At 53.9% G+C, this 27,455-nt stretch overlaps 1 protein-coding gene and 1 long non-coding RNA gene across 8 annotated transcripts in view, besides 3 other annotated features; one reads left to right on the top strand and one right to left on the bottom strand.

The window, feature by feature from the left end:
* IQSEC3 (IQ motif and Sec7 domain ArfGEF 3) overlaps positions 1 to 27,455 on the bottom strand; it is a 111,689-nt gene that overhangs the window by 18,436 nt on the left and 65,798 nt on the right. For all 7 annotated transcript variants that reach the window (NM_001170738.2, XM_011520958.3, XM_011520960.2 and 4 more), the window contains 4 exons: positions 20,666 to 21,753; positions 18,735 to 18,896; positions 2,873 to 2,995; positions 2,326 to 2,492 (listed from right to left, as the gene is read on the bottom strand). In NM_001170738.2, the coding sequence (NP_001164209.1) occupies positions 2,326 to 2,492; positions 2,873 to 2,995; positions 18,735 to 18,896; positions 20,666 to 21,753 (1,540 nt within the window). The remainder of the gene's footprint in view (positions 1 to 2,325; positions 2,493 to 2,872; positions 2,996 to 18,734; positions 18,897 to 20,665; positions 21,754 to 27,455) is intronic.
* Positions 6,070 to 6,984: an enhancer, noted in NCBI's record as "H3K27ac-H3K4me1 hESC enhancer chr12:262202-263116 (GRCh37/hg19 assembly coordinates)". NCBI's record gives its function as "activates a minimal SCP1, AML or CMV promoter by ChIP-STARR-seq in naive H9 embryonic stem cells {active_cell/tissue: H9 hESC(naive)}" and the evidence as "EXISTENCE:reporter gene assay evidence [ECO:0000049][PMID:30033119]".
* On the top strand, positions 10,851 to 22,609 carry IQSEC3-AS3 (IQSEC3 antisense RNA 3). Its single transcript, NR_033859.2, has 10 exons — positions 10,851 to 10,941; positions 15,451 to 15,711; positions 16,611 to 16,781; positions 17,387 to 18,686; positions 18,776 to 19,108; positions 19,217 to 19,372; positions 19,650 to 19,780; positions 21,376 to 21,469; positions 21,568 to 21,720; positions 22,393 to 22,609. It is a non-coding gene; the product is annotated as an IQSEC3 antisense RNA 3 (long non-coding RNA).
* Positions 13,854 to 14,353: an enhancer, noted in NCBI's record as "H3K4me1 hESC enhancer chr12:254833-255332 (GRCh37/hg19 assembly coordinates)". NCBI's record gives its function as "activates a minimal SCP1, AML or CMV promoter by ChIP-STARR-seq in primed H9 embryonic stem cells {active_cell/tissue: H9 hESC(primed)}" and the evidence as "EXISTENCE:reporter gene assay evidence [ECO:0000049][PMID:30033119]".
* Positions 14,354 to 14,855: an enhancer, noted in NCBI's record as "H3K4me1 hESC enhancer chr12:254331-254832 (GRCh37/hg19 assembly coordinates)". NCBI's record gives its function as "activates a minimal SCP1, AML or CMV promoter by ChIP-STARR-seq in primed H9 embryonic stem cells {active_cell/tissue: H9 hESC(primed)}" and the evidence as "EXISTENCE:reporter gene assay evidence [ECO:0000049][PMID:30033119]".

The following is a 27,455-nucleotide window of genomic DNA, read 5'->3' as shown; positions in this document are numbered from 1 at the left end:
TATTGAGAATGAAAAATATGACAGCAGGAATGAAAAACTTGGTAGGAGACACAAAAGACGGCACTGAGGGACACTTTCCAGAAAGTCAAGGAAGTAAACAAAGATGGCAGGTAGAAAACTATAAAAGTTACGAGGATCAGACTAGGAGATCCACCAACAGAATAGCAGGAGTTCAAGAAAGAGAGTCCAGAGAAATTGGAGGGCAGAAATGATCAAATACAACATTTAAGAAAACTTCCCATGACCGGAGGACATGAGTTTCTAGATGGAAAGGACCAGTCCAGCCCTGGGCATGATGGATGGAAGAAGAACTGTAGCAAGATGCATCATCGTGAACATCCAGAACACGAAGGCAGACAGAAGACCCTGCAAGCTTTCAGAGAGAGAGAAAGAGTAACAGACAAAAGGCCAGCAGCTGGGATGGCAGAGCAGCACTGGCAGCTAAAGGACAATGCAGCAGCAATGCCTTTGAAATCCTGATTGGCGTGTTTTGAGGCTGGAATTCTATCCCCAGCCAAACTCCCAACCAAGGGCAAAGACAGAAAAAGATACATTCAGAAATGCAAGTTCTCAAAAATGGCCTTTTCTCTGAAAGTAAACTAAAAATGAGGAAGCTCTGACATGCAGGAACCAGGAATCTGTCATGAGAGCAAGGGAAGGAGGGCCCAGGATGCAGGCTGTGCCCTGGCCCAGCCACTGTCCAGACTGGAGCAGGACCAGAGGCTCCCGGAAGATGACTCTCCCGCACCACCTCCCAGGTCTGGACATATGGAGAGGAGCTTGATACGTAGGGTGGGAAGTGGGGGCTGAATCAGGGGAGGTCCTCAGAGAGTTAAGCAAATGGAAAGAGAAGCATTAACTCCAAGGAAAGTATAGATGAAGGGAGTTGCAATCATTCTGCACTTGCAGACTCAGCTTTGGAGTGTGTGTGCAGAGCCCTAATAACATGAGCACTGACGTGAGTGGGATGGGTCAGGGAAGGTGGATGAAAGAGGGCTAAATCCTTACATTCTATAATGGGGAATTAATAGATCATGCTTAAAATAAAAATAATTAACAAGGGCCAGGCGTGGTGGCTCATGCCTGTAATCCCAGCACTTTGGGAGGCTGAGGCAGGCGGATCACCTGAGGTTGGGAGTTCAAAACCAGTCTGTTCAACATGGTGAAACCTCATCTGTTCTAAAAATATAAAAATTAGCTGGGTGTGGTGGTGCACACCTGTAATCCCGGCTACTTGGGAGGCTGAGCCATAAGAATTACTTGAACCTGGGAGGTGGAGGTTGCAGTGAGCTGAGACTGCACCACTGCACTCCAGCCTGGGCAACAGAAATAATAATTAACAAGGAGCAGTGTATAAAAGAGACCAGATACCAAAGTATAAATACTGTATAGCTCTATTTAGATGAAGTTCAAGGACTGGCAGGACTCGTCAAATGGTGATAAAAGGCAGAATAGTTGTTACTCTTGGGCGAAGGCATTGACTGGGACGGGACAGGAGAGAACATTCTGGGCAGGTGAAAATGATCCAGATCAGGATCCAGGTGTGATGACACAGTGCACGTGACCGTACACATTCATCAAACTTCAGGCTTACACACTCACAGTCTGGACTTTATGCCAGTTAAAAAAAGAGATAGAAAAAAGCGAAGCAGAAGCCTGCGGTTTATCGATACAGAAGAAACGCAAATAGCTAAAAAAGTCAAAAGTGGTTGCCTCTGGAGAAGGTGAGTGGTGAGAGGGGCAGCGACTAATTTTTTTCTATGATAAGCCTTGTAGGATTATTTGACTTTATTAAATTATGTGGATGTATAACTTTGATTCTTTTAACGGGTAAAAAAAAAAAAACAATTGCGCACACATCACACTCTGCCAGTCCTGGTTTGCTCCCTGCCAGGCAGTGCGCTGCATCGATGAGAGAAGGACTTGCCAGCTGGTGCCATACAGTTATCTGCAAGGCTGACTTAAATGGACCCAGGGCCCTGCTCCTGGCTCCTTCCTTGTAAGTTGTGGAGGGGAAGGGCTGGCACCACTTGAGCCGCCAGCTCTGGTGTCAGGGGCCTAGAGGCCAACCATGTTCCACGGAGGGCAAGAGGCACTGCCCAAGGGCGCTTGCTGTTTGGTAGAGCGGTGGCGGTGGCAGGCTGCATGCCGGAAACTCCCCAGCCGCCTGGCTCACAAGGAATGTTCCCAGCTTGCTATGGGTGACCAGGCCCAGACAGCAGGTGACCATCTGTGATAGGGGCTCAGACTCACAGAATGCACGGTGCACAGAATGGGGCCTGAGCCGTGGCCTTGCCCCTCCTGCCCCAGTGCCCACCTCCTCACCTCGAAGGTTTCGGATGAAGTCCTCCAGCATCATCTTCCGGTCAGGCTTGATGTTGGGGCTGTACATGTCGGTGTTGAGGAGGATGATGGCGAAGGCGAGGATGAAGATGGTGTCGGGGTTGTGGAACTGCTGAACCACTTCGGGGTTGCACATGCAGTAGCGCTGGCTGTGGGGGGGTCAGATGCAGAGCGGACGCTGAGCCCCCGCCCACCCTCCCCCGGGCCCAACAAAGGAAGGGGGTGTCCAGGGGGTATCCCAGCTCTCCGAAGGCTTTAGGTCCAGGGAGACCAGTGTCTGTCCCATACTCTGGTCTTTTTCCCCACACCCCCAAATGCCCCACATTTCCAGCCTGGGGAGCTCGAGGGGTCGGTCCCTTTTCTTCCCTTCCCTTGTTTCTCCCCAGCCATCCTCCTGCCCACACCAGAAGGGGTGTTTCTGGCCCAATGTCCAACCCTCCTGATAGCATCTCCTGTCTCCCAGGCTCACAGCGGCCCGGCTTCCCCACGCTGGGGTCTGTTGGGGAGTGGAGCTGGGAAGCGGCCTTACCTGAAGGCCTCAATGAGCCGCTCCACCTTCTGAGCCTCCCCCTGCACACGGATGTGTGCCTGGAACTTGCGCAGGGCCTCGTCCAGCTCCATGCTGGAGAAGTCCATCTCGTCCACCACGCAGCTGAGGGCAGGCAGGGAGGGTGTGAGGTCAGGTGGCACCCTAAGCACCCTCCAACACCCATTCTCGCTGGCCTCTGTTCCCAGCCAGGACAGGTGCAGGGCCCCTCAGGCTACTCACCCCCGGGGGTCGCCCTTTAATGCCCCAAGAGGACCATCTCCTCCCACCTGCCACAGTAGCCCTTTCGGAACCCAAACCCTGAGGCCAGGAGAGGCTTTGGTGGCCCAGGACACAGGGGTGGAGGGAGGCTGAACTCGGATCTTCCAACTCCAAATCCCAGTTCCTTCCTTCTTAACCTCAGAGTACCCCAAGCAAAGCTTTCAGCATAAATAATACAGTAAACATATTGATTCTTCTGTTCTTTCAGAGACCCGCTAGGAGCCTGTGTTTCTCCCAGGTTTAAATTTCACTTTCTCATTTAGGTCTTGAGGGGGCTGAGTCCTCCGTTGGATCCCTTCTGCTGTAGGCTGAACAGTTAGGAGCAGAGCCCCTCAAGCCCCTGGGGCTTTCTGCAGCCCAGCTCCCCCCAGCTGCCCCAGCTCCCCACAGCTGCCCCAGCTCCCCCCAGCTGCCCCAGCCCTCAGGGGAGGCTGTGATGGGAGGCACAGCCTAAGAGTAAATGACAAATGTGCCTAACGTGAGGGGACAGCGTGACACGCAGGGTCAGATTCTGGTCTGGGCCCTCCTGCGAACTTGGTGTGACTCTGGCTTGCCCACTCACTCCTGGGGCCTCTGTGTGACCTTCTGAAAAGGGAGGAGGCTGGAGTCCCTGCTCCCCAAGGGCCTTGCTACCTCTGAAATGCTGCCTCCAACCCTGGGGGGTTTGCCTGTGAACATCCCGAGCTTCAGTGTGTGTGGGTGGGGGTGTGGGGTCACATGCCAGTTCCCCCCAGCTAAGCAGGCGCCTTCCTCTGGTCTAGCCCGATCCAGGGGACTCTGCACTGCAGGGTCTGAGGCCGAACCCTCCCAGTCCCCTCACCCTGCCTCACCCTCCTTTGGGGTGCCCTGTCCCCAGGGCCATGTGCAGCAAGGCAGGAGTCCAGGCCTGGAAAAGCAGGGGACCCAATGTCCCCTGGGCATTGCTTTCCCTTTGGGAGACGCAGACCAAGCGCGTTAGATTGGGCTCTTGGAGCTGACGTTTGCCCACTCTACACCCACTCACCCTAGTCTCCTCCCACTGGCTATGGCACAGCCCCTGCACTGCCCCTGACACTGCCCACTGCCGGCAAGCAGTCCCACTCTGCTCCCATGGTCCCCTGGCCTGCCTGCCCACCACATCGAGAGCACAGAAAACGCCTGCTGAGTGGCCCTGTGATGGTGACATGAGCTCTGAGGTGGACCCACTTCCTCCATGACCTCAGCTTCCATTCGTGCCCACTGCCTAGAAGACTTGGAGACCCCCAACTCTGCCGTCAGTTTTTAGGAGAAAACAAGGGGAGACGCCACAGTGGAGGTGGTCAGGGCCTGGTGGTCCATGGACTCCGCCTCCCACAGGTTTCTGGGGAGAACAAGGAGAAAAGTGCATCACCGAAGACTCTTAGAAAGGGAGGGGGCGCCGAGAGGGAGCTGGGAGTCTCTCCTCCTCTTTCCTTTTCGCCTCTCTCCCGTAGGCAGGGCCCATGGCCATCTTCAGGCTATGAGTTGTCCTTGGCTTGGTCAAAGCCCACTCCTCTCAGGCTTGCTGGCCGGGACAGTGGGCAGGTGAGGGTGGGGCTGGGGTGGAGGCCAGCATCTTGCCCAAGCATGAGAATCGGCAGCACCAGGATCAGGGCATTTGAGGTTGAGCTGACGGCTGGGGAACAGGGGCCTCCAGAGCCAGCCAGGCGAGAGGCTGCTCTGATTTCCCGGTGGCCCTCCTCACCTCCACCCTGCACCCTTTGCAGCCCTACGTGAGTGCCAAAGGCCCTATGCGGCCACATCCGTGTGTTCCTGTAGCCCAGCCCATCAGGAGTCAGCAACTGGGCACAACAGAGCCACACAGTGACACTGTCCAGGGCTGGTGACCAAGAGGCTGTGGTCCGATGAGTACAGAGAGAGCCTGGAGGAGGTGAACCAGCATGGTCACGCAGCAAGGGGGTCAGAGCGTGTGGGCCAGAGAGATGGGGCGGGGCAGCGAAGGACAAGGAAAGTCTAATTCGACAGAGAGCAAGGAGAGAAAGGGAGGGACAGGCAAGGAGGAAAAGGCAGGAGAGAGATCGCAAAAAGGGAGCAAGACCGGAGACTGAGATAAAGAACAAGCAAAAAACAGAGACAGGGAGGAAGGCGGAAAGACAGAGAGGCACGAGGAGAGGAAGGGACAGGAGGGGAAGAGGAAGAGACAGAAGAAGTCTGGTAGAGATGAAGATGTGAAGTGCACCGCGGACTGTGGTGGGGGCGGCATGGAGCGGCCAGATGCCACCCTCTCAGCCCAGGGGCGCTGACTCTTATGAGGCCAAGAAAGAGGCCTGGGTCCTCAGGGCCCCAGAACGGCCCTTGGTCCCTCTGAGTGCCATCCTGCTGCTCCCCAGGACTTGCCCCCATCTGTCGTGCACCCCACCCCTTCCCTGTTTCTGAACGCTGAGGTCCTGGCACCCGGCTTCCCACATCCACGTTCCTCCCAGAGCCTCTCTCTGAGTGCCTTCTGCCCCAGGGCTATGGACCAGGTCTCACCCTGCAATGGTGGGGGTGCTGGGAGGCCCAGGGCACTGTGGGGGCAGGCTGCCGCAGAGGCAGCGGGAGCAGCTGGTGAGGGTGGCATCTGCCCAGCCAAGCACGATGGCCTAGTTTCCAGCCCTTCACTCAGGTGACAAGCAGCCGTTCACTCACTCAAGTCTGCTGCTAAAAGCCCCGGTAGTGAGCTGAGAGCCTGAGAGCCAAGGACCGGGATGGGGGAAGCAGCCAGGTTGAAAAGTCGGCCCACAGAATGGGAGTTGAATACACCCCTCGTGGGCCTCGAAGCGGGGAGGGCTGCAGGGGTGGACACTTGGGCTGTGGAGCTGGAAGGGCCTCTCATCCAACATCTTCCAGTGTGTGCTCTCAGGACCCCACAGCGGAGTCATAAGGTGGTTTGTTAAAATGCAGCTCGCTGGACCCCACCCCAGACCCAGCAAATTAGAATATTTGGGGGCAAGTCCTGGGAATCAGCATTCTCTGCAAGATCTCCCGGTTGTTCCTAAATTGTGAAACCAAAGACTGAGCTGAGTGCAAGGGTAGGCCTCACTGCGGCTTTTAAAGTGAGTCCAGCAACTCACAGGCCACCAGGCAGCCGTCCTTAGGGGCATGTGTCCCCACCTGGCTATCGGGGCTGCTTTTGCATGGGGGTGGTGAGGGAGGGGTGGATGGAGGCATAAACAGATGTAGTTCTTCCCCTGGCTATGCACCTGCCGTCCTGCCTTCCTCCCCTCACTGCATTTGCCACCACAGGGTATCTGTGTTTCATGAACAGGTGCTATTCTGGGTTTCTCAGACCCTGGGGGAAAAAATGACATTTTCTGGCTGTGAAATCCCTAGCTGGAAGGGAGGAAGCTGTGCTGAGTGGTGGGACACTCTACCCTCCTGCCTGAGGAAGGCACTTCCTCACTGGAGAGCTGGGGGTTGGACCAGGTGACCTCTCAGGACTGGCACCCGGAGGCACGGGCCATCTCTGAAGCACTGCAGACGCTCCCAACGGCAGGGGGCAGACGACCCGCAGCAGCACTCCTGGCTGGCTGGTGGCTTCATCCCCACCCTCCTCTAGGGGGAATCACTGATCACTGTTTGCGTTCCTGATGGGGCCTGTGTCATCCTGGGGAAGGTGGCTGGGGGTGGGACTGTGCTGTCTACCATAAGCCCTGCTCATTCCAGGGTCCGTGTCCCCCTGGAAGCACCTATAAGCCTCGGCCCTCTACAGCATGAGCCTCCTCTGTTCACTCCCTGAGCATAAGCTTCTGCTTGCACCGTGCCCTCTTTTGCTCCCTCCCCTTCTCTCACTCTCTGTCCTGCTGCTTCTCTTATTTTGCAGTGTCTACCAGCACTCCTAATTCCCACTTTCCAGCCTTCTTTGCTGCCCTGGAATCCTCTTGGGGAGCTGAGTGTGGGCAGTTTACCAAATCCATGCTGCAGCCTCCACCCAGGGTGGCCTGGAGTCATCTCTCCTCATTGGTCATCTTTAAGGTAAAGAGCACCACACATTCCCGGGTGGTCTTTTCTGGTGTATCATCTCCCCATTTTACAGAAGACAAAACTAATGCCACGTAGGGCTGGCCCCATGCTCCCACAGCTAGGGAGAGCAGGCTTTCAGCTTCCTAATCTTGTGAGGCCTCTCCCTGCCCCACTGGGCTCTCTTCTCTTCACTCCTGTGTGTGTGTGGGGTGGCAGGGAGGTCCCTTACTCAAGTCGGGGGAGTTCCCTCTGAGCTCTCTGTACTGAGTATGGCTCTAAGTGCTTCACTATGTGTGCAATGACCTCATCTTCTCAAGCTTGTGCAATATGAACCATTGTACCATTATGTTTTTATTACATATGAGACTGAAGTACACTAGACAGCCAGCCCTACAGGCGTGCTGCACACATCTCATTCCTTGCTGACATCTCCTGGGGCAGGTGGTCCCCTGTGCCCTCCTCTCCCTCACCTCTCCCTGGCTCTCTGCTGCTCAGTGGCTGGCACTAATGCATGTCTTCCTAGGGGCTGTGATCTTACCCAGATGGCTTGGTGGGGACCTGTGAGAGGCCAAGGAGAAGCCCGTGGACACAGTTACACAGGAGAGCCTCTTGGTGCATGCGTGGGCAGTCAGCACGGGGGCTCTGTGGTCACCCTGCAGGTTCAGAGCTGGCCTGGGCACCTGGAGCCCACAGCAGGGTCCATATCGCTGACCTCCTGCCTTCCCCTTTCTGGTGCTTTTTGTGCCCTGTGGCAGTGGCTGGTTGACTCTTTCAGCAACGAGCACTGAGTGGCCCCGTGTGCAAGGCTGTGCTCGGGACCTGGTGTAAGTGGCCAGCAACACAGTCTCTGTCTTGGTGGGAGAGACAGGCATTGAACACAGAGTCAAAAATAATTCTTTACCTATAGTCATGATGAGTTCTATGTAGGGAAACGACGGTTCCAGGAGAGGACAAAGGAGATATATTTTATATTGTATGTCTGGAAAGGACTCTTTGGGGACATGGCATTTGAGCTGAGGCCTGAAAGATGAGTAGGAGGTGGCCAAAGGAAGGAGAGAGGGGAGAGCTGTCAGGTGGGCTAAGGGAGGAAGCATATGCAAAGGCTCACGGCAGGGAGGAGCTTCAAGGACCTAGGCAGGGTCCGCAAGGTTGCAGTGCAGACAGTAACAGGGAGAATGGTGACTGTGGGGCAGCAGCCAGGGCTCAGTCTGTCAGCTTTGTGGGTCATGAGAAGGATTTGGGAGTTTATCCTGAATGCACTGGGACACAATAGAGGGTATGATCAGAGGAGCGACAGGGTCCTGTTTGTTCTAAGAAGATTTCCCTGGCTGTTGGAGAGAAAATGAATGGCAGAGGGGCAGGGAAGAAGACAGAAGCAGGGGCCCAGTTAGGATGCTACTGCAGAGGTCCAAGCTACAGATAATGGGGCTTGGGCTAAGGCAGGAGCAGTGGAAACAAACTGAATGAATGATCCAGCTGCATCTTAGAGGAAGAACAGATGGGACTCGAGGTGCAGGGAATGTGGGAAGTGAGGAAAGGGAGGCATCACTGGTGCATCCTGGAGCTCTGGCTGGAGCACCCAGGGGCCTGGAGGTACCGTTCTCTAGTGTGAGTGTATCATGGTGCAGACACACGCTGGAGGAGAGACGGAGTCTCCATCTTGGGGCACACGAAGTCTGAGGTGTTCTTTCAGATAGCTACCGTGCCTCCCCTCTACTGAATCATCTCAGGAGAACCCAGGGGCCTGGAGGTACCATTCTCTAGTGTGAGTGTATCATGGTGCAGACACACGCTGGAGGAGAGACGGAGTCTCCATCTTGGGGCACACGAAGTTTGAGGTGTTCTTTCAGATAGCTACCGTGCCTCCCCTCTACTGAATCATCTCAGGAGCACCCAGGGGCCTGGAGGTACCGTTCTCTAGTGTGAGTGTATCATGGTGCAGACACATGCTGGAGAGACGGAGTCTCCATCTTGGGGCACACGAAGTTTGAGGTGTTCTTTCAGATAGCTACCACGCCTCCCCTCTACTGAATCATCCTCAGGAGCACCCAAGTGCTTGTCTTTTTCATCTTACAAATCAGAACCCTGCCTTGAGCCCTCGTTGCTCTCTAGACACTGCCTCTCTTCTCTCCTCTTTGCTGCCTCCACTTCCTCTTCTCCATTCACTCTTCAACCTGCTCCACTCAAGCATCCAACCCCAGGCACCATTAACACTTCTCTTGTCACGGCCATTGCTGGTTGCTATGTGGCCAAATCCAACGGCCTATCTCTGTCCTCATCCCAGCCCCTTGGCAGCATCGACATGGTTAATTGCTCCCTTCTGGAAACACCGTCTTCTTGGCTTCCATCACCCTCCCTCCCCAGGTGGACTCTTTCCTCTGGAGGAGCCCCTCATCCATTGCAGCTGCCCCTCCTCACTGACCTGAAACTGGGCCCTATCCCCCTCTCAACAACCACTGTCCAGGTGGCTGCCCCCATGCTAGTGGCTGCCCCCATTCCAGTGGCTCTAGCTAGCTAACAGTCTAACTTGCTTGAGTAAATATTTGACAATGTCTAGTTTGATAGATTCTTCAGATGAAATGTCCCTGAATCCAGCATCTCCCTGCCTCTGAAATGGAAAATCTGTACGTGTTTATTTGGTAGATGGAGTACCAACACAGGGGGCCTGAAGCACACGCGTATTCTGAATTCTCATCAGCTCGGAGACCACTGGCTGTGCGCTGGCTGCCTGGCTCCCTCCCACGTGGGCCATGGCCCTGCTGCTTCTCCACGGCCCTGGGCTCTGCCAACTTCTCCCCTCCCCATGCCCACAGCCGCAGTTTAGGGCTTCATCCTTTCTCATCATGGCTGTTAACAGCAGTAGCCTTCTCACCAGTCTCCCTGCCTCCAAACCATCTTCAGAGCCATCCTTCTAGGCTGCTAACTTGGCATCATAGCTCATGTCCCTGCTCACATTTCTCCCAGGGCTCCCCACATCCCTAGTGTGAAACCCAAGTTTCTCAGCAAAGCAAAGACGCCCTGTCTGCTTCCAGCTTCTCTCGCCGCTTCCCCAGCATGGTCCCCCCCTGCAGCCTGGCTCTCACGCCCCCACTTTGGTGCATGCTGTTATTTCTTCCTGCTGCCCAGCCCCAACCCTGCAGGTCTCTGTTTAGCTCTCATCCTCTCTAGGAGTCTTCCCTGACCTCCGTTGTCCCCGGAACCCACCTTCTGTCGACCATTGCGTTTATCTCCCTGTGTCATAACATTTGCCTGCCTGTCTTCCCCACGAGGCTACGGGCTCCTTCAAGATAGGGCAGTTATTTTAATCTCTGCCTCCCTGGTGTATGGGCACCCAATCACTGTTTTGTGGGATGAATGAATGAGTGAGTGAGAGATGACCAGGAATGACTGCATGCCGGCAGCTGGAGAAGGAGCCTCAGTGGCCTGTGCCTTTGGAAGTTCTACCCAACGGCCCAGGATTACTCAGCCTGCTTTGCTGCCAAGATTATCTGGAGCTGACACCGAGACCTGTGATGGACTTGCAAATGGCCCCGAGGCTTCCAGACTCCAGGCAGTGAGGCAGTGTGGAGGGCATAGGCCCCCTTCCTCCCACTGCACATGCAAGTGAGTGAGTGCTGAGAACTAGAGCAATGGGCACCGATTAGACCGCTTCCAGCCAGGCATGACCGGACCTGTCTCAGGAGGTGCTGCTGACGGGCGCGTGGATCACGAGTGGTACCGGTTTTGCTAAGGCCTCCCCCTCTTTCCTGTGAGCTTCTGCAAGGTCTGCAGCAAATACCTCACAAGCGTTGGGGAAAAAGGATGTATGTTCCCTGCCTCTGAAGAAACAGGTACAATCTTGCATAAAATTGCTTGTTAACATTGATCTGTGCGTGGAATCAGTTTGTGTTGCAGGGAAATGAAGCGTCCTACACGCCTGTGATCAAAATGAATTTCATCATCTCAACCTTCTTTTTTTTTTTTAATGATAGCAAGACAGTGTCTGGCAGACAAAGGAACTGGTTGGGAGCTGAAAATAGGTAATGGTAGCAGCAGGGATTTTTAATTGGCTGGAAGAGACGGCGAAGATCTGGAAGGTGAAGCCCTAGCTCGTGCTCCTGGCTGAGACTAAGCCCAGGTTTCAGGATTAGGAAGGAAATCTAAACCACCTATTGCCACGGAATGTAGAAACCCTGGCTTTATTTGGCAGTTGTTGGCTTCTACAATTCAATTAAAAATATCCCCATCCTCCAGAGAGTTATTTTATTCGTCAGAATTCATAACATGCTCAACAAAGGTCAAGGCGTTTTGGCAAAGTGCGATGCGGCTAAGAAAATAGAAGAGAAGGAAGCTGATGCAGGATCTGCCAGTGTTCCTGGTGATGTCATGAGGACGAAGAAACTCTCTTTTGAGGGGGCCTGGGTAGGGCTGGCTGCCACTCACACCTTGAGACTCAGGTACCCAAAGAACTAAGTTCAAACTACCCTTACAATTTAGAAGCCCTGAGCTGATTTTTCTTTTGCTGGGCTCGGCAGCATCCCTGTTTGCTGGTGGGTCTCAAACTGAGTGATGCATTGGAATTGCGTGGCGGGTTTATTAGTGCACGGATTGCTGGGCCCCGAGCCGCAGAGTCTGATTCAGTGGGCCTGGAGCGGGAACTGAGAGTTTGCATTGCTAACAAGCTTCCAGGTGAAGCTGACGCTGCTGGTCCAGGGACCACCTTTTGGAAGCACTGCTCTATGCCAATAACAGTGGGTGGATTAAGAAAAGGCCGTGGAGCTGTTACTTCAAGTCATGGAGCCTCTTGGTGGCTCATTTCCTCACCTTGAGAATGGAGACAACACTGAGAACATCTACTGGGCAGGGGTGTTATGAGTGTTAAAGGAGGCAGTGGGTGTGAAGTTCCTGGTATACAACAGGGCTTAATACATGATCATTTTCATTAGGTGTGGGCTGACCCGCCTGTCAGTGGACAGGACCCCTCCCTGCCCCACCGACTAATTCTGCCTGGAATTGTATCATTAGACAGCCATCCGTCGGCCCTTTAAGATATACATGCACCAGAGAGAGGAAGCTAAATCTGGCTCAGACCTCTTGAGACTTACGAATCAGTTTCTCAGCTGTGCTTTCTTCCCAAATTGAGAGGATCGGGGCATAGCAAATAACGCCAAGGTAAGAGGTGGGAGAGTACCTGATTTTGTTCAATTTCTCTGCCGCTGGCCAGGAGACTAGTCATTTCTTTTCCCCAGGGCCTCAGTTTCTGCCAGGGTAAAATGAGAGGGCTGGACCAGCTGATTGTCTAAGGGGTCTTCAGTGTCATGATTCATGATGGGGGACTGACAAGGACTGTGAGAGCAACCGGACCACAGGGGTCCTGGAATGACGCACGGAGGCTGGATGGTGCAGGGTTAAGGGCTCAGGTGATGAGTCATTGTGCCTGGCTTCAGACCTCAGCCACTGATCAGCTCTGTGACTGTGGGCAAGCTCCCCAACCTCTCTGTTCCTCAGTGCCTTCATTGGGTACAGATTAGCAGCACGTCCCTCCCGGAGTCGCTGTGAAGATGGAACGAGGTTTTGCATGTAAGCCTCTCAGAACAGCACCTGTGGCACACAGCACATGCTGATCTGTGTGAGCTGGCATAATATTTCACGGCCTGCTTGGTCACAAACGGCCCTCCTGGAGATATGACAGCCCTGCCCTGGAGACAGTGACACCCCGGAAGACCCTTCTAGAAGGCCCACGTCCGAGTGGCCTGTTGCAGCCACAGCTATCACACAGAGGAGACTGACTCCTCCAGAGCAAAGGCCTGAGTAGTCAGGGGAGGACTGGGTGGCAGGTAGGTCCATTTTTATATAAAAGTCCAATTTATATGCCAAAGTGACGAAGCCAAAGGGAGTCTCAATCCTGGACTGAAGGTCCCAAGGTCTCCAGCTACAGAAGTAAGTAGGTCTTAAACTCTCACAACTGTTGACTGTTCAGGAGAATCCCTTGTCTATCTGTGGTGGGAGTGGGGCAGGAGAGAGTGGAGAGGTGAAGGGTCAAGGCCATAACCCCAAAGACACCACTTTTGAAGATGTTCTCCTTCCAGCCTTCTGGTGCTGGCAGTGTACCGTTTCCAAAGCAGTGGAAATGACCCTAACTCTTCTATTCCTGCCTGCCTGCACTGGGTCTCTGTCTCTCTCTATCTATCTCTCTCTTTCTTCCTCCTCCCTCCCTCCCTCCCTTCCTCCCACTCTCCTCTCTCTCTCTCTTTCTCTCTTTCTTTCTTCTTTTTTGAGACAGGCTCCCACTCTGTTGTCCAGGCTTCCAGGCTAGAGTGCAGTGGCACGGTCACAACTCACTGCAGTTTCCATCTCCTGGGCTCAAGTGATTCCCCTGCCTTGGCCTCCCGAGTAGCTGGGACCACAGGTGCCCGCCACCACACCTGGCTACTTAAAAAAAATTTTTTTGTAGAGATGAGGTCTCTTTTGCCCAGGCTGGAGTGCAGTGGTGCCGTAAGAGCTCACAGTAGCCCTAACCTCCTAGGTTCAAGTGATTCTGATGCCTTGGCCTCCCAAAGTGCTGCGACCACAGGTGTGAGCCACAATCCCTGCCTGGGCCTCTTTTTATCTCCTCCGGACACATAAGGTCTGCCTGGGCCCCAGCCTGCTCTCCCCTTCCTCATGGGAATTCCTCAGGAATAAGGTAACTGAGATTATACACAGCAATGTGGGCAGGACATTCTCAAATGATTTCTTCCTAGCAATGAAAGGCCAGAGCCTTCCAGACTGTTGAATTTGACAGACAATCTGTCTTCATTTCTAAACGTCCTCTAAGAAGAACAAATCTGTTATACTCTGGCCAACATATTTCCATGGAAATAAAATAATGAAATCTGACCCAAACGTCAAACCCTGATATGTCTTGGAATTTAACAAAGGATGGAGCAGACGCAGTGGAGGGAAGGAACACCCAGGAAGCTTTCTTCCGGCAGCTCAACCCAGAAGCTGCCTTCCTGCATTTCATGGAGATGGTAGACACCAATGCTCTCCACGTGCATGGGATTCACACCAGAAAAAATCATCCAGGCCAGAAAGAGGCCGCTCACAGCCAGCATGGAACGTTCCCCATCCGCTGGACTTTAAACCTGCTGAAGCGAACATTTCAGAAAGGAAATAGAGCAGAGCCAAATTCCCCAGCCATGTGAAAACCGAGAGGGAGAGGCTTCCAGCCCTAGAGGGCCCTAGCTCTGGCTGCTGTCTGGCTCCTGCCGCTGGCCTGCCACCGCGTGACTCTCAGCTTCTGGACCGGGCTTCCTCAGGCTGCAGGATGCTCCCCAGATTGAGCTGACCCCCTTCCCAGCAAAGCCCAGCAAGTTCCAGCAAGTTCTCATTGTCTGCCTAGTAGACCTGAGTTTGAGTCATGTTTGAGGAGGTTTCCTTGTGCGCGGGGAATGGGATGGCGGGGAGTGGAGGGTTCTAATGTCTGTGCTTTTAAGTAGAAAAGATAATAATGAAATAGCTAACATTTAGCCTGTAGTCCCAGCTACTCAGGAGGCCGAGGTAGGAGGAGCACTTGGGCCCGGGAGTTCAAGTTGCAGCGAGCTTTGATCATGCCACTGCCCAGTAGCCCTGGTGACAAAGAGAGATCCTGTCTCTAATAGAAAAAGAAAAGAAAGAGCTAACATTTACAGATAACTTACTAAGCATCAGGCACTTCATGTACATTGAAAACGTTTGATTCATATGAGACAGGTACTCTTACCAGCATTTTACTAATGAGGAAACTGAGGCTGATTTCTTCTCTAAAAACAAACAGGCTGGGCCTAGTGATTCATGCCTGTAATTCCAGCATTTTGGGAGGCTGAGGTGGGAGCACTGTGTGAGGCCAGGAGTTTGAGACCAGCTGGGCAACACAGTGAGACCCCCATCGCTACAAAAATATTTAACAATTAGCCAGGTGTGGTGGCACATGCCAGTGGTTTCAGCTCTTCAGGAGGCTGAGGTGAGGGGTTCTCTTGAGCCTGGGAATTTAAGGCTGCAGTGAGCCATGGTTGCACCACTGCACTCCAGGCAACAGAGCAAGACTCTGTCTCAAAAAAACCAAAAGCGAAACCTTTGCAGGTAAACACTGGAATGGGTGTGGCTCTTTGAGCTCAGAATGCCTTCTATTATTGTCATTTGATAAGGCCTGGTAAGAATACATTCCTTCTTGGAATGTGTCTTCTGTGAAAATAAGATACAAAAGGATGGAGATGTCAGCTTCCAAGAGCGCTGAGGGCCGAATTCTGAAAGCAAATGTCACAGCATTCATGATGCTCAGACACAGACCAGCAGCCGAGGTGGCAGCTGCTCTCTCCCTCCTCTTCCTTTCCGCACAGGCCTGACGGTTGGGAAGCACACCCTTCCCCTCTCAGAGGCTTTCTCATCGGCTCTTCCTCATCGGCTGCTTCTTGGGAGAGTGCTGCGGTTTGGGCTGTTTTAGTCTCCAAGGGGATGGGTGATTTATATCCTTTTATTCGGCAAACAGCTTTGTACAGAATGAATACCGCTTGCTGAATGTCACCAGGCGGGGGCAGGGGAGCCGTATAGAATCCCAGTGAAGCCTTCCAGGCCTGGGCAAAATGGCACCTGGCGACTCGGTTAGTGTGTGTGTTTTCTCCGGCGGGAGTAAGGAAGACACAGTCAGAGTGGAAGGGAAATGCAAAGACTCCAGCGCCCCCCTCCCCTGCTAGTGCCTGCCACTTTCTGCTTCTCCATCTTCTCCTGCCCTTTGCAGGACAGGGCCCTCTCCACCTCGGAGAGAAGCAAGGCAGTCAGTGACCTATGGACTTCAGGGAGGGGCTCCTTTCTGTGGCGCTGAGTCAGCATGCCAGGCCTGCAGGGCTACACAATCAAGCATGAGGGATTGCGGCTTTCACCAGGGCATATCAGGGCTTAGCTCTGCACTCAACCTTGCCCAAGCCAGGGTTCCGGCTGGAGGCCCCTTGCTCTTCTCACTCTCTTTCCATGCTCCTGCTTCTCACCTCTCCCCATCCACACCTGGGTCTGTACGTTCCCTGAGACTGTGAGCCATGCCTCTTCACACACACACACACACACACACACACACACACACACACACGGGTGCCCAGCGTGGCCCCATTCTCAACACACAATAAATAAGTGCTCGATGTTTGTTGAATGAATAACAAATGGCCAACTCATTCCCCCATGAACCCTGGCACCCCAGCACTGCCCTGCATGAACCCTGGCACCCCAGCACTGCCCTGCATGAACGCTGGCACCCCAGCACTGCCCTGCATGAACGCTGGCACCCCAGCACTGCCCTGCATGAACTCTGGCACCCCAGCACTGCCCTGCATGAACTCTGGCACCCCAGCACGGCCCTGGGGCCTGTGGGCTGCTCTGGCAGGATGACAAATCATGCCCCAGTGTTTAGGGCAGTGCTACCAATGCACTAAGAGATGGGAAAGGTGGTAGATTCTCAGGACTTGGAGAAACTTTTGCAATCACATCGCCCAGCCCTCTCATTTTACAGATGAGGACACCGAGGCCCAGAGAGGTGTCCTGCCAAAGCCACACAGCACAGAGGAGCAGAGCCCGGGTCCAGCTATTTCTCCTATCTCACCACGCTGCCTCTTCTCACTGGAAGAGTGTACCAACGCGGGAGTCTGGCCCCTACCCATCCCAAGCCTGATCCCTACCTAAGGTTAGCCCAGCCCCCAGCCCCCAGCCCAGCTCCCCTCCTCAGCACAGGCTTGCAGCCACTGCTCCAAGCCTCCAGCCCACAGCCCATACACGCAGCCTCCCAGGGAAGAGGGCAATTAGTTTCCATTGTGCGACTCAGCACCACCTGGGCTGCAGGAAAACGCTGTGTTCCCAGCACTCCAGATCAATGTGGGCCTTGCAGGTTAGAATTTAGGGCGCAGGCCACATGGAGACTGGGAAAGACAGAAGAAAACAGACAACAGTCAGGGCCTGTGGGTGAAGCAGAGTCACTCCTGCCCCCAGAGCAGAGAGACAGCAGGGGTGCCTGGGGCTACGGGGCCAGCACCTCACCCTGGCTTGGGAAGGGATGGACTGGGACAACAGTGCAGGAAAGCCAGAGAGATGAGCCAACTAGGGGACACAGAAAAGGAAGGGCGTGAGGAAATGCCATCTCTCCCCTTCTGCAACCTAGATGTATCCTGGATCCCAGTAGCACCTCCATGGGCCCCCACAGCAGTGCTGGGGAAGGGAAGGGAAGCCGGAGGGAGAAGAGAAAGGAGGTGAGAGGGAGGCGCTGCCTAGCATTGTCTCTCTTTCCTCTTTGAGGTCCACAGAGCGTCTCCACCAGCAGCTCCAGGAGGGATGATAAATTGTCAAAAGCCACCAAGAGTCAGGGACAGGAACTCAGTTCTGCCCAGCTGAGGGCTGTGCAGGGATTTCAAGGTACCTGTGCGAACCCCAGCCCTCACTCATTGAACTCAGTCAGAAAACCACCGCGTCAGTGGATTTAGAAATGTGACAGGGATTTCAGAGGGCAATGGGTCCAGCCCTCACAACCCAGCACCACTCTGCAGGCATGGAAACGCAGGCCCAGAGGACAGGGGCTTCTCAATATGGGCACACAGCACCAAGACAGCTCCATAAATAGAAGTGAAATATCCAAGCTCCCACTCCAGGGAAGCTGACCACTGGGTGGATGACTCCCCCAGCGTCCAAACCCTCTCTGGCAGTCCCTTGCTGCTCCAGGAGCGAGGATGAAAGGGAGAGCTCTTCCCAGGGCCTCCGGGGAGACACTTCTGCTGACTGTCCCCAAGGAGAAAGAGGGGAGAGAAATGAGGGAGGGTCCCTGAAGAATGGAGACCTTCAAGAAGGAGGCCAACCTCGGGGACCAGTGGAAGCCAGAAAGAGCACGGGGGCATGGCAGGGGCTGAAGCCGATGTCCCAGGGAAGGAGTAGCTGCAAGGCCCCTCAGCCTCAGAGGAGCGCCAGCCCCGCCCTGCCATTCTGGACAAGGCATGAGTGTGAAGAGACTCTTGCCTGTCCACACTATCAAGGCTGAGCGGGGGCAAAGGCAGCCCCCTGGGGGTCCCCACCCTGCTACTGGACTTTAAAACCATTTTCTTTGGTTTTAAAGAAACAATTTTTCTTTGGTCATGATTTTGTTGGTAGATTTATCTTTATGGAATTGTAGTATTTTCTTGCTCTAAAACCCTCAGTTTAACCCCTTCTTTTTTCTGTCTCACATTTTTGCCTCCAGCGATATGAAAATGAACCTTGGAGAATGGGAGGGTCCTGGGGGAGGGGGGCTGAGGGGCTCTTCACCAGGCAGAGATGAACCCCAGTGCTGACACAAGCCCTTTCCTTTTCCTGGTTTCTCTTGCCCTGGAGAGTGACAGGCAGAAAGGGCTTTTTGTCTCTTTGGACCATTTCTGTATCCCTGCTGCCTCAAACGAAGCCTGGCCTGGGGCGAACTCAATCAATGACTCTGACGGGAGACAGGGCTCCGGCCCACTGGGGTGATGGGCTAAAGAGGGGATTCTGGTTCCTGTGGACAATCTGGAAGCTGGAAGCTGTTAGAACTGGAGCGAGGATTTCACCAAGGAGCTCACAGAGAGAGCCCGGGCAGGTGGGGTGTGGGAAGGAGTGGGGAAAGCCCGGAGTGTGGGGTACTCACTCCAGCACGTCGCGGTTGAACTGCTTCTTGCTGTTGCCCAGGAACTCTCCAATCATCTGGCGGCTGAGGCCCTTTCGCTGGAGGAGGAAATGGGCCACACCGATGGGGGTGTCCGGGATGAAGCCGCGTGAGATCAGGAACTGGATGCCCTTGTCGGGGTTTCTGGAGGTGGGGGTGGGGAGAAGCAGTAGAGAGTGAGCTGAAGCCATCCATGACTCTTTCCTCCCTGTCTTCCACCCATAGAAGTACCCAGAGGTTCTTGGAAATCCAGTTCCCCATTGAAGCTTCTCTCACCAGAGCCTCAACCCACTGAATGTCCTCACGCAGAGGATGGTGTGTGACCAGAAGGAGGACAGGGGAGATCTGCAAACAAAGTGAATTCCAGAGCAGATGGAGGAGAAGTACCCTTCTCTGTCCCTGCCTCCTGGGTCTTACCCCAGTCCTGCCCTTCCCCCTACCCATATCCTGTTGTCAATATGCAGGTCCCCACCGCAGACGCCCCAACCCTGGAGAGAGGGTGGGAGAAACAGAGGTGAGACCTCCGCCACACCACCTCTTCCCTTTGCAAGCTTTGAAGCCATGCTGCTCCCTGAGCTGTTCCTCACAGGTCCGGGAGGAGATAAGTACAGAAACACAAGGTAAGCACTGAGAACCTCCCATAGCATTTCGACATTTTCCGGGACAGCCAGGCATGTGATTGTCTTTCTAGCACCTCATTTTTATTGTATTTTACAAAAGTATTAGCCCACAATGTATTTTCAGAAGGGTGTGGGGGAACAAAACTGGTTCTTCACTATGGATAGTTTAAGAATTCCTGTCTTGGGGCAGATGAGTGTCTGTATGAGTTTTCATGTGCATGCAGAAGAGACACTGCAGAAGTGGGAGTGGTTCAGAGTCAGATCCGCCTTTCCCTAGGTCTGCCGAGTACTAGCTATTTCATCGTGTGCATTTCGCCTTACTGGTGTGAGCCGGCTTCTTTTCTGTAAAACAGCATGGTAATACCTCTGTGTAGATACTGCTGGAAGATTACAGATGCTTTATGTAAGGTGAGCTATGAACAGTAGCTACTTCCCCTAGAATAGGAGCCTCTTGAGGCCAGGGGATGTGTCCTTCTCACCTCTGTGGTCACAGTGCCTGGCACCCAATAAATAACAGCCGAATGAACGAATGAACACGCATTAGGGCCGGGGAGATGTGCTCTTGGCGCAGGGTTATGAAGGGGCGAGTGGAGGATGGAGGCGAGTGCCTGCCTCCTGGACCTGACATTTCCATGGGAGGGGCAGGTGTGCTTCCTTTCCTCTGCTTGGGACTGGCTGTATACATTCGGTGCAGGACCAGTCCCGGTCTCGCTGGGGTCTCTGAGCTATGGCGGTCGGTCATTTCTCCCCTGTTCTCTTTCTCCTGTGCCTCTGCCTGCTTCACACTCTCTCTTCCTCGTAGCCCTCCCCTCTCCTGCTCTCAGCCGGCATTCTTTACGAGGCGCCTCTCCTCCCTCCCCCACCCAGCCTCGCATTTCACCAACCCTGGGAGCTAATGCGTTTTCCCTGGCTTCATATCCACCCGAATGATTGCTGCGTAATCCTCAAACGGCCTGGACTGTTATTTACTTAATACTGTCTTTTCTTTTACATTCTCTTACTTTTCAAACCCTAGCTTCATCTTAAGCTGTAACAGTTGTGAAAGCATGTGTCTGATGTGTTATTTTTTTCCTTTAATCTTTCTTAAAATAAACTCAGGATGATTAAAATAAAATATGTACTTCCTAAACATGACCTCAGGGATCAGGCACGGCACAGATGCGCCTGCCTGGAGGACCCTGGCATGACGTGGGAAGTTACCTGGCGCCCTGCTTGGTGGAGGGAAGGTGCCCTCCTCCTTCCCTCCCTCCCAGGACGCCCAGGACTCCGGGCTGGGGGCCGGGGCTGACTTACATGTTGAAGAGGTTGAGGCCGATGCGGTAGAGCCGCTTGCGCAGGGTGTCGGTGGAGAGCGTGGGCGACTTGCAGCTGGCTGGGTTCTCGCAGTGGTAGCGCGGCAGGCTCAGGATCATGGCCTGCAGGGCGTCCTTGGAGGCGGAGGCCGACGCCTCCGAGCCTGACTTGGCGGACTTGGTGGACGTGCTGCTGCTGCTCAGCTGCTCCAAGTCGCCTGCCTCGGCCTCGGCCCCTCTCCCCACCTCCGCCGTCTCCTCCTCCTCCTCTTCCTCCTCTGTTTTGGGGGCTGTGGCCCCATCCGCCGCCCCACTAGCCGCAGCCTCTGCGCATGAGTCCTCGGCTGACGCGTCCTCCCGGCCCACGGCGGGGGCTTCCGGGGCCTCCCGCCCAGAGGTCTCGCCCTGCTCGGCCTTGCCCGCCGCGGGCTCTGCGGGGGCCTGGACCGTCTGAGCGCCCAGGCAGTTGGCCACCGACAGAGCCGTGGAGGAGGAGACGGATATGTTCTGGTTGGCGATCTGCACCGTGACGTCCCGGAAAGCCATCATGAGGGTCCCGCTGTGGGCCGGGGGCAGGCCGGGGGTCTCCGCGGCGTCATCCCCGGGCCCGGGGCCCGCGCTCTCCGGCGCCCGCCCCTCGGCCTCCAGGCCTGGGGGCCCCGCGGCCGCCTGCAGGGCCTGGTGGAGCTGGTAAGCGCCACTCTCCCGCAGGGAGCACATGGTCTTGAGGCTCCACGTGCTGAGCGCGTCGTCGATGGACTTGGCCAGGGATTGCACCTGCTCGGTGAAGGAGTCCTCCAGCTCGGTGAGGGTGCCTGCGAAGGTGGGCGGCAGGGAGGGCGAGCGCACCAGCGGCAGCCCCACGAGGCCGTAGCCCTCCATGAGCGCTTTCTCGGCCGCCAGGCTCTCGGCCGTGGGTGACCGCACCTTGCGCAGGGAGATCCGCCGTGGCAGGCGGCTCTCCAGAAGCGAGTTGCGGATTTTCTCGAAGTTCTTGCTGAGCTGGTATTGGCGGAAGGCGGTTTGGATGGTGCAAGCGGCGCGCCGGGACACCAGGTGACCGCCGTACTTATGTTCTAGCATTTCAATCTGCAAGGACGAGGACAGAGAGGAGGAAGGGCTCAGAGGGGAAGGGTGGTCAGCCCTTCTGAGGAGTGGTGGAGTCACCCGGCCACACTCGGGTGGGGCCCAGGAATGGACGGGGGCGGGGGGGCGCTCCTGGGCAGCTAAAGTCTGAACCGCCTAGAACGTCCTGGCCACGTGGCAAGACTCCTAGAGGTGTAGGACGGAGGGGTCCGTTCTGGGGACTAGTGATGTCTCAAGGGCCAGGAGGGAGGTGCTGCATATGGCGTTCAGATATCGATGCTGTGGCGGGTATTACAAAATGTTCATGGCCGGGCGCATTAGCTCAGGCCTGCAGTCCTAGCATCTTGGGAGGCTAAGGAGAGAAGATTGCTTGAGCTCAGGAGTTTGCGACCAGGCTGGGCAACATAGCTAGACCTTGTCTCTCTCTTGAAAAAAAAAAAAAAATTAACTGGGTGTCCTGGTGCGCGCACGCCTGTGGTCCTCAGCTACTGGGAAGGCTGAGGTGGGAGGACTGCTTGAGCCCAAGGAGTTGGAGATTACAGTGAGCTATGATTGTACCACAGCACTCCAGCCTGGGCAAAACAGTGAGACCTTGTCTCTGTTTTTTTCTTTTCTTTTCTTCTTTTTTTTTTTTTTTTTAAGTTCATGTCAGAGATGCATACAGAAGTACTTATGGGTAAAATGCATGATATCTTGAAGTTGTGTTAAAATATTCTGTCAAAAAATGTGGAAGAGTTAGATGACACAATATTAATGTTAATAAATATTAATAAAATGGTTACAGCTGGATGATAGCTACGGGGGAGTTTATAACACTGTCGTTTCTACTTTTGTGCACACTTTAAAACAATAAACAATGAAAAACAGAAATGCTAAAAAACCTCACAGCTCCTCGTGCTTCCCCGCTCCTCCCCTAAACAATGAAAAACATAAATGCTAAAAACCCTCACAGCTCCTCGTGCTTCCCTGCTCCTCCCCAGCAACCATGTCTCTGTGTTGGGGTGGCTCCTTTCCCTGGGAACATCAGAAGGGTCGGGATTGGGGTTGGACCATCTGTGTGTTCCCAGTACATAGTTAGCTGCTCAGTAAACGTGGATTTGCTAAAAAGTTGAGTGGGTGTCTCAAGAATGGGGGTCCCTCCAGGCCACCATTACCAAGAGTTCCCCAATTTGAGTCACCTCTGCTCTTACGGTGGGAGCTGTCCAACCAGGGCAGGGCTGGGTGGGGTGGGCTCGGGGGCATGGCACCTCACCTGGGCAGATCTGATCCCAGGAAAACTTCTGTCAGGGGGCCAGCGTGCCTCCTCTCGGCTCTGTCCTCCTGTCCGTGGGTTTTCTCCTCTCAGGTTGCTACGCTCTCACTTTTCCTCCCTATGGAAACTTCTCAGGAAAGGACTGGGGAGGTATGACAGCCATGCCCCCAGAGGCTTCTGCCTTTAAATAAGGGACAAGGCCTGTGTGAAGGTGATGGGCTTAAATGGTGGCATCCTAGACTCTGATCAGCCCTCAGAGAAGTTTGGGAAGTGCGAGTGTTTCCTATTCACAACCAGACATGCCACTTACACGTGGTGTCCTTCCCGAATGAACGAAGAATCGGGATGGGTGCGCTGAGATGAACGACTCAAGGCAAGAACAGGGACGTCCCGTGTTCTCCAGGGATCATGGGTGGGGAGGGTACAGATTGTTCTCCAGGGATCATGGATGGCGAGGGTACAGATAGAAAGGCCATACTTCATCCCTCAGCACAACACTTCAACCTGCTTCCTGCTCCACTGGAGCCCCCAAAGGCTGCAGCCAGAATGAATGCCTGCCTCCCACAGCCCAGCCGTGCCCTCTGCTCCCTCCCTGCAGGGTGTGATGGGTGCCCCATTCCACGCTAGCAGAGGTAGCCTCTTAGCTCAGGACACCTTGTGGATTCAACCCCAATCCCCAAGGACAATCCCAGATAAAATGAGACATCCTTAGTGCTTGCCTCCAGTGCTTCCAGCCTGGCCATTCCCATTCCCCATTCCCAAACCTGGGGACATCATTCTGTCTCCCCCAACATCCAACTCTACCCTTGGAGATCGTTGGAACTCACGCAGATTAATGTGTAAATGGCAACTAAGCCTTCCTATATGGCTTCTCCCAAAGTTACTTGCATTTCATGAGGGACAAGGCCCTGAGCAGGAGGAAGCTCCCAGTGCTATCACAATCCCCCTATTGGAGGGGTCTTCAAGGTGCTCTAAACCACACCAAGTGTATTCCTCATCTATTGCTGTGTAACACATGACCACAAATCCAGCCACTTAAAGTAGCACCTGTTTATTTCTCATGCAGCTCTGTGAATCTAGTCTGGGCACAGCTCATCTGGGTTATCTGCTCGGGATCTCACCAGGCTGAAACCAAGATATCAGTCAGGGCTGCAATATCATCTAAGGTGTGGGGTCCTCCTTTGAGCTCGCTCTTGTTGGCACAATTCAATTCCTTGTAATCACAGGACTTAGGCCCTCAGTCACTAGAGGTTGCCTGCTGTCCCCTACCATGTGGCCTGCTTCATAACCTGATAGCTTGGTCCTTCAAGGCTAACGGCACAGTGTCTGTCTGGGGCTTCAGCTTCATTTATAGGGCTGACCTGATTAGCTCAGACCCACCCTGGGTGATGTTTCTTTTTATTAACTCAAAATCAACCAATTGGTAACCTAATCATTGGAGTGATGTCCCATCACATTCACTCATCCTGCCCATACTCAAGGGAAGGGGATTATATAGGATGTGTACACTAGCATGAAGGGGACTTGGGGGCCATCTGAGAATTTTGCCCACGGTACGAACTGGACACTTCCCCACTTGATCTTTACTAGGTATGACCTCATGCACCCATAAGAGACACAGATACTTGCCTCTGAGGCATTCTGTTCCTGCTCCTGTGGAAATAATGTAGCTTGGCTCATTCTCCCTGCTGAACTTTGACACATTCCCTGAGGCCTGGAATAGGGACTTGGCTTTGGCTCAGGCAGGAAAGTCCTTCCCCAAGGGGAAATGTAGAGAGGAAGGGGAACTGATCACTAAAATGTCTCCTTTTCTCTCAATTTCTGTCTGTCAGCCCTATTCAAGCACCATGAGAAACTGACAGATTTCACATTTCTTTTTTTTTTCTTTGAGATGGAGTCCCGCTCTGTCACCCAGGCTGGAGTGCAGTGGCACGATCTCGGCTCACCATAACCTCCGCCTCCTGGGTTCAAGCGATTCTCCTGCCTCAGCCTCCTGAGTAGCTGGGATTACAGGTGTGCGCCACTGTGCCTGGCTAATTTTTGTATTTTTTTAAGTAGAGACAGGGTTTTGCCATGTTTGCCAGGCTGGACTTGAACTCCTGGTGCCTTGGTGATCCGCCCACCTTGGCCTCCCAGAGTGCTGGGATTACAGGCGTGAGCCACCGTGCCCGGCCAGATTTCACATTTCTTTCCCGTCTGGCCTATTTATACCCCACCTTGGCCTCCCAAAGTGCTGGGATTACAGGCATGTGCCACTGTGCCTGGCTAACTTTTGTATTTTTTTTAGTAGAGACAGAGTTTTGCTATGTTGGCCAGGCTGGACCTGAACTCCTGGCACCTCGGTGATCCGCCCACCTTGGCCTCCCAAAGTGCTGGGATTACAGGCGTGGGCCACTGCGCCCGGCCAGATTTCACATTTCTTTCCCGTCTGGCCTATTTATACTTCTAGGAAAACCCCAGGCCCAAGAGCATCCTTTTGCAGCACGAGATGCTGTTGGCAACACAGGGAAGGTATGAAATCCATTGCTTGAGATGCTTCCAAAATGGTGATGGGGTCCATGCCCTTGGCATGGTATCATCCTGCTTGAAGGCAGAAGACCAGCTGACATAACCCTAGGAGACTCCGTGTACTACTGGGCAATGTCTATGCTTCACCCAAGCAGGAAAGAAAACCAGATTTTAAATTCTTGCATCTGTCCCATCACATCCTCTACTAGACATCAAGTCCCACGAGGGCAGATTTCACCTGCCGTGGCCACTGCTATCTCCTCCAATGCTTGGACAGTGCCCAGCACATAGTGGGCCTTCAATGAGTGTGTATTCGACAAATTAATTCCAAAGTTATATTTGTGACTCTCAAAAACCTTCCTAATCTGACTCAGCAGACGCTCTCCCGCTCCTGCCTCCTTTGTGTGTTCAGCTCACCCTACACATGCTCTTTTTACTCCCATTTCCTTCGTCCTATCTGCAGCTTTGCACCTGGCCACAGATCTCCCCAGGCTACAGCGTAACTGCTGACTCCGCTGCCGCTGGGGCACTAGCCTGTTCCCTTTCTTCCTATTTTACACTGAACCTCCAGAACAATAACCTCTGCCTCACTCCAGGAGCAAATGCCAGATACTGACCCAACCCTGCCCTAGCCTGTTCCCTTTCTTCCTATTTCACACTGAACCTCCAGAACACTAACCTCTGCCTCACTCCAGGAGCAAATGCCAGATGCTGACCCAACCCTGCCCTAGCCTGTTCCCTTTCTTCCTATTTTACACTGAACCTCCAGAACACTAACCTCTGCCTCACTCCAGGAGCAAATGCCAGATACTGACCCAACCCTGCCCTAGCCTGTTCCCTTTCTTCCTATTTTACACTGAACCTCCAGAACACTAACCTGTGCCTCACTCCAGGAGCAAAGGCCAGATGCTGACCCAACCCTGCCCTGAGCCCTGTGCTCTGGGTCCTGCTGCCTCCCATCTCAGTCAAGGGCGAGAGATGTTAAACTCATCCAAGGCCAACCAGCAAGGAAGAGGCAGATCTGGGGCTTGTCACTCAGCCCCAGGGGCCTCCTCAGCCTCCCTCCTGGCTCCTTTCTGCAACTCTCCCCAGTGCTCATGACTCAGTCTATCCTGGTTGTCCTGTCTCCCTACAACCCCTTAATCCTGTATTCTGGCCACAAAACCCCTACGTGTGCTGATTACGAGTCACATGGGTGCCACTGCCAGTCTCCACACGTTTTAATTTTCCCCGTACACTCTGGACATCATCCACGGCTTCTGTGTTGGACATCATCAGAGGAGCCCGTGATGGGTGATAATTAACAATGAATTAAGAAGGGAGCTGTGTCAGTCAGAGCCTTCCAGGTCACTGTAAACGTGCTCCCCAGGTGGATACCTTCTCAGCCCTGTCTGCCTTCCCTCTGAGGACCCAGTCCACTCTCTTAACTTCTACTTTGATGGGCCAGTGAGCAAGTGGCAAGTAAGGGGAATGGCCAGCCCCAGATCCCAGCTGATTGGACTTGGATGAATTTAACATCTTTGACTCTCAGTTTTCATATCTATTAAGTGGGGTTTATCCTGCTGACCCTGTATCTTCTTGTGAGGATTAAATTATTTCATGGAGCACCCAGCAGAGAGCAGGAGCTTCATAAGTGGTAGCTGCTTAATGGTGACAGTGACAATGATGGGAATGACTCTCAAGCCTCCATACCTAGCCTTGATCCTAGACCCACATTTCCAGCAGCCTGTGTATCCTCTGTCCATCTAGGCTATGCCACTGTTTTCCCTACCTCACCCAAACCAGCTCTTGTTGACTTCCTTATTGGCCTGACAAGCACCCAGCCTGGGAAACTTGCCTTGTCCTGGGGTTTTCGTTTGCCCTGTCCACTGTGTTTGTCAGCCTCCTGTAGCTCCTGGGACCCCCCACCCCTATACCTTTTGCAATCATCCATGATATCCTTCCA

The sequence above is a fragment of the Homo sapiens genome, chromosome 12, assembly GCF_000001405.40.
Source record: "Homo sapiens chromosome 12, GRCh38.p14 Primary Assembly".
Lineage (NCBI taxonomy): Eukaryota > Metazoa > Chordata > Mammalia > Primates > Hominidae > Homo > Homo sapiens.
This window is presented reverse-complemented; position numbering and strand designations above follow the sequence as displayed.